Source organism: Homo sapiens, chromosome 6 (genome assembly GCF_000001405.40).
Source record: "Homo sapiens chromosome 6, GRCh38.p14 Primary Assembly".
NCBI classification, from domain to species: Eukaryota; Metazoa; Chordata; class Mammalia; order Primates; family Hominidae; genus Homo; species Homo sapiens.
The window spans coordinates 16,298,509-16,310,681 of NC_000006.12; the positions used below are offsets into that span (position 1 = coordinate 16,298,509).

The 12,173-nt window shown below is 43.0% G+C and overlaps 1 protein-coding gene across 3 annotated transcripts in view, besides 3 other annotated features; it reads right to left on the minus strand.

Moving 5' to 3' along the window:
* The window catches only part of ATXN1 (ataxin 1), a 462,349-nt gene continuing 450,779 nt past the window's right edge, over positions 604–12,173 (minus strand). For all 3 annotated transcript variants that reach the window (NM_001128164.2, NM_001357857.2, NM_000332.4), the window contains one exon: positions 604–8,351. In NM_001128164.2, coding sequence (NP_001121636.1) covers positions 7,821–8,351 — 531 coding nt within the window. In that variant the 3' untranslated portion in view covers positions 604–7,820. The remainder of the gene's footprint in view (positions 8,352–12,173) is intronic.
* Positions 4,584–5,163: an enhancer, noted in NCBI's record as "H3K27ac-H3K4me1 hESC enhancer chr6:16303323-16303902 (GRCh37/hg19 assembly coordinates)". NCBI's record gives its function as "activates a minimal SCP1, AML or CMV promoter by ChIP-STARR-seq in primed H9 embryonic stem cells {active_cell/tissue: H9 hESC(primed)}" and the evidence as "EXISTENCE:reporter gene assay evidence [ECO:0000049][PMID:30033119]".
* Positions 7,072–7,191: an enhancer, noted in NCBI's record as "active region_24100". NCBI's record gives its function as "activates an Ori minimal core promoter by ATAC-STARR-seq in GM12878 lymphoblastoid cells {active_cell/tissue: GM12878}" and the evidence as "EXISTENCE:reporter gene assay evidence [ECO:0000049][PMID:35858748]".
* Positions 11,412–11,620: a silencer, noted in NCBI's record as "fragment chr6:16310151-16310359 (GRCh37/hg19 assembly coordinates)". NCBI's record gives its function as "represses an EF-1alpha promoter that drives an FKBP-Casp9 reporter gene in an ReSE screen in K562 erythroleukemia cells {active_cell/tissue: K562}" and the evidence as "EXISTENCE:reporter gene assay evidence [ECO:0000049][PMID:32094911]".

The window sequence follows — 12,173 nt, forward strand, 5'->3', positions numbered from 1 at the left end:
CTAAGTAGCTGGGACCATAGGTATGTGCCACCACACCCGGCTAATTTCATTTTTTGTAGAGATGAGGTCTTACTATGTTGACTAGGCTGGTCTCGAACTCCTGGGCTCAAGCAGGCCTTGTGCCTCGGCCTCCCCAACTGTTGGGATTATGGGCGTGAGCCACTGTGCCCGGTCTGCTCGCTGAATTTCTAATGAGCTTGAATTACAGGAAGTAAAAATAAATTTTCCACTTACAGACCACTAACCAGTTTAGAGCAAATCTGTAAGGAGTGTATAGATTATGCCACACGAGCGCATGAAGCTACCACATGTTTAAAGACAAGTATACCTCTTGTGAACAGCAGTGTTCAGCTAGGAGGCATAAACATGAACTGAAGAAACCAAGACATCAGGTGTGGCTGTGTGCCTTTTATCTTAGAACCTCATCTCACACGTACTCTTCCCCCCAAAACATTAGCAGCGAAGGCAATGCCTCATGTCACACCTCCCTACCTCCGACCTACCCAGGGAGAACTCGTGAGCGGGGGTCAATAAGGAGGAGGAATTAGCACTCTTTTCCTGGCCTCTTCCTTGAGGACCCAACAGAAGGCAAAGACACACATCTGCAATTGGCACTGTTATTTTATTAGTACGAGTATACTGAAACAATAAACTTGTACTGGTATACAGACAATTTATTTAAAACAATTTTGTTCAAATTTTGAATCAAACATTGTTTTATTATAATAATGAAATAATTTCTACCTAGAAAACCTGCAAGCACCATCAAAGAAAGGGACCATAAAATTCAATAAACAGACTCGAGTGTATCCTACAAATAGACACACCACGATTAGAAAATAGAATATGAATTCTTCCATTTTTTAATATTTGTTTAAAAAAGCTAGTGCAAGTACAATATTTTACACTGGAATTACAGAGAGTATGCACGCATATGGAAAAAAGTTCTCCTGTCACAATAAAAGCTCTTAACTATTATGTATGCACTTAAAATTTTCTTTTCAATAAGGTGCAAAACATCATTCCTTCCCTAGTTCTCCTCTGTACTGGCCATGTCAGTCTGGTAGTGCCCTCAACCCAAGTTCTGGTGTCTGTTTTCCCTTGGCCTGTGGGAGGCATATGGTGGGTAATGATCTGATATTAAAACATCCAGTAGTACGAGTCTCAGAGATGGCTCTGGAGCCAGGACTCCACTGGCTGGAAATGAAGACTGTCTAATCTGAAGGTCACCACAAATACTGACAGGACTATCTTGAAACCTCCTTTCGGCTGACACTAATTTGGGTTTAGAGTTGAGCAGTTCAGGCTGGGGAGATGAGGAAACCCCGCCAAAAAGGGCAGTATTCACAGAACTGAATGCACAGGTATCAAGTTCAAATGCACTAACTAAAGGATTTACCCCACTCCTGGGCCAGAAAACTGAAAGAGTAGGTGGTTCCTGTAAGAACCAGAGAAAACCTGTGCACCGAGCTTCTTGGTAACTGCTCTGAAGACAACAGCTTGAGCTAGTGTCACCTAATACTTGGTATTCTGGAGGACAGTATGTTATCTTGGTAAGGATTACTGTAAACAACACTTCCAACGAAGGCCTTCAGATTGGCCACAGAAAAGGAGACAGGCTCATTGGCCATCCAGACAGCAAACAAACTAAAGGGAAAGAAAACGTGGGTGAAGCCTCCAATGTATCTGCAGTGGAAGACTTGAGTCCTTTCAGATAAGAAAAGTTATGGAAATTCTTAGAGATTGTTGTTATTGTATAGATACTACCTATTGGCCAAATGCACTTAATTTTAATACAGTTGAACCATTTGTATGCAAGTCATGGGGACATGAAAAACTGAAGCCGGTGTTCCCTCCCGCCATTACACAGGAGAAAGTTAGCTACCAGAACAGTTGCCTTCAACGAGAAGGGAGGGGACGAGATTCTGAATTTAAGAATTGTAAGTGGGGGTGCTTAATATCCCCACAGCTGTCCAGTTTCCACTGTCCGGCTTGATTTTTGGACAGGAATACTATTCTGAGAAGATGCTCCGTATTTATTCTGGCCTCTTTATATTAAATAAAAATCAAAATAAAACTAAAATAAAATGAGGCATTTACATTGAAATCATGTTTTTACTCCCCCCATTTAAATGAGGTGTGGGGGGAAAGAAGGTGAAATAATTTTTTTTTTTGTCCCCATAATGAGTCCTGTTTGATTGGTAGCCTGGATCCCTTGTTACAAACACTTCGTGTTCAAGATTATATTCTTTGGGTTTATAGGAACAGGAAGTGCTGAAAATGTCAAACATCATCTCTGAAGAAAAAGAAGTTGCAATGGCTTAAGAGTTTAGACTAAGAAGGGAGCTCAGAGAAGTACTTTCAGCATAGGAATGAACAGTATTCTCAAATCGCAGAATACCGAGTTCCCCTCCCTCAGACGAGGGCTATATGTAACAAAAATAACAATAAGCATAGGTATAGTTTAAGAGCCTTTTACGTAGTAATTCTTCCAGGCCATAACCATACAAATCTGATCATTTAGACATGACAAATTTCTATATACAAAAAAACATGTAACTTTCAACCCTTCTCTGCTTTTTTTTTTTTACAAACAAAGTATGAAACTCATTGTTTCAACAGAGCCATATCTTTCAAACACTGAATGAATCATTTCGACATTCATTTTTCTTTTGTGCAATTTTTTAAAACATTACCTGTACTCCTCAAAGTGAGTGCTTCAAAATTTTGTTTTCTTCAGCTTCTCAAATCAGGTGTACATTTAAAAAAAAATTCCCACAAGGTATAGTGCTACAAGAAAAGATCCTATCATCAGTAAGGTAACGTATTTGAAGCGAGGTCATCTATGTAAAAGAAATCTCAGCTCCGGAGTAGAGGTGTGCAAGTTGTTTGGAGTTTCCCTATGCCAGAAACACAACACTGTCCGTGGAAAAGAGAGGAAACCAACCCAACACAATAGCAGATGCATGTGCTTTATAAAAAAGTATATTCTCTGTATATTTATTACTTGATGTGTTCTTAAATTCTCTATTTCAGAAATTCTGGGTTAAAAACAAATGTGGAAGCAAAGGCCTCCACGCCACTTAAAAAAAAAAAAAGTGTAATTCTCTCCTTTCACATCACCACCGAAGAAACCGAATTGGGCCATGGAGTCTGCTGGCCCTGTTTTCACCTGGTGCAAATTGAAGTGCAAAGGGTTTCAGAAGGCAACAGACCAGTCTGTTGAGCTGCTTGTGGTTCATGAAACAGTAGCCATGACAACCAACACAGCTCAAGAAGCCCGGCCTTCGGTACCGAGAGCTCTGCTTCCTCACCCATATCTGAAATAGCACGGTATTAGTGTCTTCAAAAGCATTGGAGATTTTTCTCTCTATGAAAGAAATAGGTTTCCTTAGTAGTCACAGATGTTAAAGGGTATTGTCAATCGTTTCCTTAAAAAACAAAACAAAACAAAATCCAGAGCTACAACAACAAAAATAAATTTTGGCAACATATTTCAGTAAAGATCAAACTGTGCAAAGAGTGGATTTTATGATTACTAGGAGCTACTGTTCATCTTGAACATGCAGCATTATATTGCAATCTATGCGGTATCTAAGGAGTAATCCACAAGATGCAGGAAATCCAAACATTCCTTGAAATTGTACAACCCTACTCCAGAGCAGTCAAAGTGCTGCTTCTGGACACGTCAGTGTACCACACACACACCTGCCCCGTCCCTGAGAAAGAGGTGTGAAAGGTTCCGCAGAGTCCCTTTAGGGGAGAAGGAGGGATGCTGCCACTTCCTGGTGGGGGGAAAAAACCCAACACACTCACCTAACAGAAAACATAGAGGCTCACAATTCCAAGTTAGAAATGGGATCAACAACAACAGAAATCAAATCATCCCAAACTAAACTGGGTGAGTTAGGGAAAACGAAAAGTTGACCAACATAGAAAATTATCCTGAAAGTCCAAATGAAAATTCAATTTGGATTTCCACTTTAAAAGATCTGAGGTAAGTGGCATCCATCTCTGTATCCCTCCCTCCCCCCTCTGCCCCAGTGTGGCCCAGACAAACTGAAATAATTCTTAAGTTAAACATTCTAAGGAACAGTCATTTTATATATTTAGAAATCCCTAGAAAGAGAGGTTCTTGTTTGTTGGTTTCTTATTAATAGTATTATTTTTTTCTTTTCGCCCTGACTAATTTCTTGGTGATTGTGTTCCATTGTAAACGCAAAAGGCCTGCTGTTACTAGTTTAAAAATGGAAAACAGGAAAGAAAGAACAAAAGACGGCTGTCGGTAAATATTGCAAAGTGGACATAGTACAGAGGCACATGGCTGATCCTTGTAAGCTGAACGGCACCGAAGAATTTCTACCCCTGTCATCGTTAATGTTTGCTACACAGAAGCGGTGACAGAGGCTGCTCTGGGAGCCTCGGGGCCCGCCAACGTCTGCAAACAGGAGGCTCCTGCCCTCTGTGCGTTCTTCCTATTTGAAGAGAAAGCTGCCACAAGGGAGTGGTGACCGTGGGTGGCAGGTGGTCCCCTCCACAGCCACTGGCCAACACGCTCAGAACGCACACACACAACAGGCCACACTTCCCGTCCAGGCTCAGAGGCAGGGCTCCAAGTCTCAAGGACACAGACCCCGAGGAGGGGCCTGCCCACTTGCAGAAAAGACCGTGGAAAATGGGTTGACTCCAGGCTACATGGCTCCAGAGTGCGTCTTAGAAATGAATCTGCCTCCTTCCTCTCCACACTCCACATTCACTATTCCGTGTGGTGACAGGGGACACTGCGGTTCCTCCCCCGGGTCTCCTTGGCTGGCTCTTTCTGCAACGTGGCGGCAGACGCACGGGGCTCCTGAAGGCTCCCCGCCCCAGCACTCAGCATCCGCAGCAGGGGAAAGGTGGGAGGCTCTCTCCCTCCTGGCTCCTTCCCTCCAGCCCTGCTCTGGCCAGAATGGGGAAGATCAACCAAACAAGGAAAAAGCCAAAAGGGAATGAGCTTTAACTATATAGCACACTGGTCAGACTCTATTGGCACAGAAAGTATTGCACATGCTAAAAAAGCAAGAGAATGAAATGGGACAAGTGTTTAGAAAGAACCAATTATTTTATAATTCCTATACCTGAAATAGAACCACAAAAATTATGATGATGTTCCTATTGCTCCAAACCATGTGTGTTTTCCCATCTTAGTGTTGGTTTAGTGGATCCAGTCAATTCAATACTCGAAGTAAGCCAAAAGGTGGTGTGTGTTTTTCTGAGTCCACATGAGTTGTAAATAGTGATATTAATGAGAACAAAGTCTATGTGGCAGCCCGTATTCCTCTTACCATCAAAGGCTAAAAAACAAAAAGAAAAACAAAACCTAATAATTGCAAGTGCCCTGAGCAGAATATATGGAAGATTAAGCAAGTTCTCTGAACAGAAACGTTTAAAAAATACAGCACTAAATAAGCAGTATGACTGCAAGAATGAGCCCACCCAGCTCTCTGCAAGCATGCTGAGAGGGTAATGAAATTCGAGGAAAGTCAAGGAACTATTCTAGCTATTCTAAACCTATTCAAATGTTTTTGGTACACCCCAGAAAACGGTTTATAAAAATCATTAGTCCTGGTGAACCCTAAATGTAAATGAATACTAGACAGCCAAAATGTGGGTTGATACCAGATTTTTTTTTTAATTTGTGAAACGAAGAAAGTACTATTTTCAATGGGGTAAAAGAAAAGTCAGGTATTTGTTCAGTTTAGTTGCAGCCATCCAAGTAAGAATATTTAAAAATTTCTCCCTACTTATAAAACTTTTTTTTAAAGCACTTTAAAGATGCATTCAAAACCCACAAATGATATTTCGGATCTCTGGGAATGAAAGGTTTAAAAACTATGAAATACCCTTTCTGGGTTTGTACCAAACATTAAATCTCGATTTGATTTTGAATAGAAAAAAAAAAGCCATTCTGAAAATAACATTAATAACAACAATAATAAAGTAATTGTTTAAAAAAAATCTTGCTCACATATATAAATGTCTTTATGGAAAACTCTCTCAATGAATCTGAAGAAAATTCTCAGAGTTTCTAAGAGCCCGCTAAGACCTGGCTTTTTGTGACAGATGTGGTAAAAAGACCAAAATGAATTTTCAAAGGAACATAACCTTATAAAATGGCCTAGAGTTTAGGCAGGTTAGAAAGAAATTTTGCTACATTTATTTATGCTCGTTCAGTCCCCCAAACCTTTCCCACAATGTTATTGGATAAAAACTGCAGGAATATCACACAAGTTATAAACTCAATATGTGCAAATCGCAAGGTTCTTTAAAAGTTCATCTTAAAAAGAAAAACACTGGACAAAAATGAGTATTCTCTTCTCCATCCCTTTTCTCTCAGTTTCTCTGCCAACTCTGCATATGCCTTGAACTGATTCTCAGACATCAAAGTGAAAAGTGCCTCCCGTCAGGTAGTACTTGGTGGTCATTTATTGTCACATACTAGTTCATAATTCACATTCATCCCTTTAAACCACATTGAAACTTTCAATATCTTGCTCTTCAGCAATTCTGCAGAGCTGAAATGTAGTTACAGTGTTGAAAAAAAGAAAGCAACTTAGTTTTTTTTGTTTTTGTTTTTTCCCCAAAGAGTTTAAAGTGAGATACAGTACTTGTTGAATGAGAGACCAAGATGCTTGGTAATAAAGTGTGAACAGTATTTTTAAATGCTTAAAGATAGTAATATATGCTCATCTTCAAAATCTAATTCCTCATGTCACACTGGAATCTGAAAAAAAAAAAAAGTGGCACCCGAGTTGTCCATAGTCATGAACTATAAACAGTACTAGAGTTCAAAGACAAAAAGATTTCGCAAACTCAACGTGAAGAGCTTCTGTTGCTCTCACTGAAGGGCAGTTTGCATCTACCTCTTGGGAGTGAAGTCAATGCAATAACCTGATTGGTTTTCCTAACACTGCACAGAAACCAGCGTGGGTGTTCGCTCTCTCCCTCTCCCCCACCCCCAACCCCCCTTACCCCATGTGGGGCCATGACAGCAGGGGCTTCCCTGTCCACCACAACACCCTGGTGACATCGCTGCACTAGTAAAAAGCAGAAATGAAATCCCGCATGTGGCAGTTGCTCTTTAAAAAAAATATATATCAGTGCAGTCAGGCCCCATAGGGGGAAATATATATCTATACAATTAAAAGTTGCTTTTATTGTAAAATATGTTGGAGAGAAAAATGTTCTTTTAAATGGTTAACTTTCCAAATCTGCCATCTGACGCGTCTCCGCGATGCCCTGAAGCTGGGTTCCTGATGTTGATTTTGCACGTGGGAACCCCAGGAGGACACTGCTCTGAACCCCCCCGGCCCATGCCGATAGCAAGAGAGTGAGGCAGAGGGAGGCAGAGAAAAAGAGACCCTCACTCGCCGCCACAGCGCCTGTGCACCCCCACATGCGTGCAACCCTGCACCCCTGCAGGACCCTTCCCACGGGACTTTTCTCCTGACACTAGCGGGAGTCAGCGCCCCCGGCTGCTTCTGTGCCGCTAGAGAAGGCAGGCACTGTGAAGCCCCGTTCCTTTCTTCCCCGGGGATGCCTGGAGCCCTGACCGCTCCTGCTGTGCCCTTCCTCCCGCCCGCTCACTGACAGACACTCGTGGAAAAAGCATATGCACCAGTCTCCTGCGACACACCTGCTGTAACTCTAATGACAAGGTTAGAACAGAAACCTAAAATTAAGAAGATAACATGTAAATACTGTGTTATTTTAGCCTACAGTACAGTAATCTGGATACAAATGATAAGGGAGAGCCACGTTTCCTTTCCCCCACGCTGCCTCTACTTGCCTACATTAGACCGGCCTTCAATGCAAATCTTAACCTCCTGAGGAATTAGAGAAGGCTTAGGAAGAGTCAAAGGTGGTTCGTCTTCTGACTTCTCCAGTTTGCGGCTCTCTGGCGCCGACCACCTCCTCTTCCTCGTTGCCGCGGGCTTGCTGGGTTCTATTTTGGTGAGGAAGGGCGCTGCAGGCAATCCCATTTTCTCTGGAAACTTCAGTTCGCCATTCTCAGAGAGCATCTGGGCACTCCCCTGGTTGATTCCGTTTTCCTGCTCGGCATACCTGTGTCTGCTGCCCGCCAGGCCGTCGGCCTTTGAGTGCTTCAGCAGGACGCTGGCGGGATCCACGGGCTGGCCCTTTTTAACAGAGCCGTTCTTCAGGTTCTTGAGGGTAAGCGAGATGCAGACATCCCCAACTGAGAGTTTGGAACACGGCAAATCAAAGAGCTGGCTGGTTCTCTCCGGACAGCAGGATGACCAGCCCTGTCCAAACACAAAAAAAGGATACTCTACCAAAACTTCAACGCTGACCTGTGGAAACAGGGAGAGACAGAGAGAGGAAGAAGGAAGGGAACAAATGAAAACATTTTATTCTTGTTTGATTTTATGCACACACACAGGTATGAACTCACACAGACACACACAGGCTGAATGGGGGAAAATGACTCAGTTTGCAAACCTCCCTCTCCCCCAGCCACACACTATAAATGAGGCTCTTCTCTTTGGGTTGTACCTCTACTTGCCATAGGCAGAAGCCAGTGAAAAGGTCATCAATATTCAAAATATTCCATCAAGTGTTAGCTCTATAGCTGGTCTCTGTTAGAACCAGTCAATCGAACCCCAGTAATGACAGAGCACCCACTTAGCTTTCAGCACCAAGCTAGGCTCTGCAGGTGGCTCACAAGCCCAGCGCGGTCTTAGATTTTATGAGCTCAATGGACAACTGCTATTATCATACAGGACAGGACTAAACATGGATCAGAGTGAGACTGTGAGTTCCAAGAAGCAGGCACAGTGTGTTTATCACTGAGTCCCCAGCCCCTAAAAGGATGCTTGGTGGCTGGGCACAGTGGCTCATGCCTGTAATCCCAGCACTTTGGGACACCAAGGTGGGTGGATCATTTGAGGTCAGGAGTTCAAGACCAGCCTGGCCAACATGGGGAAACCCCGTCTCCACTAAAAATAAAAAAAAAAAATTAGCCATGCGTGGTGGCGGGCACCTGTAATCCCAGCTACTTGGGAGGCTGAAACACTAGAATCACTTGAACCCAGGAGGCAGATGTTGCAGCGAGCCGAGATCGTGCCACTGGGCGATCCAGCCTGGGCCACAGAGTGAGACTCCGTCTCAAAAAAAAAAAAAAAAAGTCAATTTCCAATGTCCTTTCTAGATGTAGTAGACTAGGTAATTTGGACCAACCCTCCTTCTGAGGACAACTAAAAACTCTGAACAAAAATATAAGCAAACAAATAAATTTAAAAACTCTGGACAAAATGTTTAAACTTTTTTTCTTATAGTACTGGACAGCAAATAAGATAGTAAAAAGGCCAGGCGCGGTGGCTCATGCCTGTAATCCCAGCACTTTGGGAGGCCAAGGCGCGTGGATCACCTGAGGTCAGGAGTTTGAGACCAGCCTGGCTACCATGGCAAAACCCCATCTCTACTAAAAATACAAAACTTAGCCAGGTGTGGTGGTGGGCCCCTATAATCCCAGCTACTCAGGAGGCTGAGGCAGGAGAATCGTTTGAGTCCGGGGGACGAAGGTTGCAGTGAGCCAAGATCGTGCCACTTTACTCTGAGACCAGCCTGGCCAGCATGGTGAAACCCTGTCCCTACTAAAAATACAAAAATTAGCCAGGTGTGGTGGCAGGCGCCTATAATCCCAGCTACTCAGGAGGCTGAGGCAAGAGAATCGCTTGAACCCGGGAGGCGGAGGCTGCAGTGAACCGAGATCATGCCACTTCACTCCAGCCTGGGCGACAGAGTGAAACTCCGTCACACACACACACACACACACACACACACACACACACACACACACACTTCCTGGGTTGGATCAGGAAAAGATGATGGCCCAGAGAGGTGAAGCTGGTGTTGGGGGCCTGTTTTCTCCTGAAGGCACTTGAACATTCCAAAGTGGAGCAGTTGGGAAACCAAGTGGGCTTTTGATAGTGTTAAGAGCATAGGGAACAGGTAATGGAGTTCAGGATACACCAAGGGAGGGTGTTCTCTGGTGAGCCCCATTCTTTTGAGTTGTGACCCCAAAGCACTGTCCCTTAGAGGAGACAGTGAACCACAAGCCAACAGGCCTTTCAAGGTCTGAAGCTCAGATTGACTCATCTGAGTCCCTAAAACTGGATTAAGGTCTTGAATTACTTTCACAATTTTGCAAATAAAAGCATTCAATTTAAAAAAGGGGGGTGGTGGTCATGAGGAGACCAGATAGCTTGTATAAGCACTAGCAAAATATCAGATCTTAAAAAAGGATGCACCAGGGCTTCTCATATAGAGTCATACATATAGACTTTACAAAGACTATGCTTACAATAATTAAGAAGATTAAAGACAGCTTGAGAATTTTGATAGGAAACTAGAATCTGTTTTTAAAAGATCCATGAAGCCAGGCATGGTGGCTCATGCCTGTAATCTCAGTACTTTGGGAGGCTGAGACAGGGAGGATCACTTGAGGCCAGGAGTTTCAGACCAGTCTGGGCAACAAAATGAGACCCCGTTTCTACAGAAATTTAAAAAAAAATAGCCTAGTGTGGTGATGCGTGCCTGTAGTCCCAACTACTCAGGAGGCTGAGGCAGGAGGATCTTGAGCCCAGGAGTTAGAGGTTGCAGTGAGCTATGATCACAAGACTGCACTCCAGCCTGGACAACAGAGTGAGACTCTGTCTCTAAAAAAAAAAAAAATAAATAATAATAATAATAATAATTAATTAATTAAAAAAGGTCTATGAGAATTGTAGAATTAAAATATACACCACTGAAATCAAGAATGCAATGAGCTTTCCAGTTGAATAGACATGGATTAAGAAAGAATTCAGGAACTGGATTCTCTAATTAGAGCTTTAGAAGAGACTCCACAGAGTGAACATAGAGACAAAAAGATGGTCAATATGGAGGAGAGGGTAAGAGACACATAGGATACATTGAGAGGGGCTAACAGACACATAATTTGAATCCTAGGAGGAGGAAGAGAGGGAGATAATAGGGCAGAAGTTAATACTTGAGGAGGTAATGGCTAAGAATTTTCCCAAACTGAAGAAGGATAATAAGACAGTTTCAAGAAGGCCTAGCCCCAAACAGGAAAAATAAACAAAAAGAAATCCTCACTGAGGCAGATGAGAATTAAACTGCTATAAATCAAAGACATCTTGTAAACTAAACAGGAAAAAATATCGTTAAAAGCCTCTAGAACAGGCTGGGTGTGGTGGCTCCTGCCTGTAATCCCAGCACTTTGGGAGGCCGAGGTGGGTGGATTACCTGAGGTCAGGAGTTTGAGACCAGTCTGGCCAACATGGTGAAACCCCATCTCTACTAAAAATGCAAAAATTAGCTGGGCATGGTGGCAGGAACCTGTAATCCCAGCTACTCGGGGGGCTGAGGCAGGAGAATCACTTGAACCCGGGAGGCGGAGGTTGCAGTGAGCCAAGATCGTTGCAGTGAGCCAAGATCGTTGCAGTGAGCCAAGATCATTCCATCACACTCTAGACTGGGCGACAATAGAGAAACTCCATTAAAAAAAAAAAGCCTCTAGAACAAAATACATATTATCTCCAAATAAGCAACAATGGAACTCACAGTTTACATCTCAACAAAAATAATGGAAGCCAGTAGACAATGGAGACAATGGAATATCTTTACAGTGCTAAAGAAAAAGAATTGTCAATGGCGAATTCTATATGGAGCAAAAAGATCCTTCCAGAATGAAGGCAAAATAGAGACATGTTCAGACAAACAGTAATTAAAAGAATTCACCATCAACAGATCTGCATTATAGAAAATACTAAAAGGTATTCTTTAGGTAGAGAAAAAACAAATCTAGATTGAAGTTTGTACAGGGAGGAATGAAGAGGAATGAAAATGGTAGATACATGGTGAATCTGAATGAATATTGGCTATATGTAACAATATTTAAAATATTGTTGGATTCTTTTTTTCTTTTTGTGAGAGGGAGTCTTGCTCTGTCGCCCAGGCTGGAGTGCAGTGGCGCGATCTCGGCTCACTGCAATCTCCGCCTCCCGGGTTCAAGCGAGTCTCCTGCCTCAGACTCCCAAGTAGCTGGGACTACAGGTATGCACCACCACCACCACGCCCAGCTACTTTTTGTATTTTTAGTAGAGTGGGGG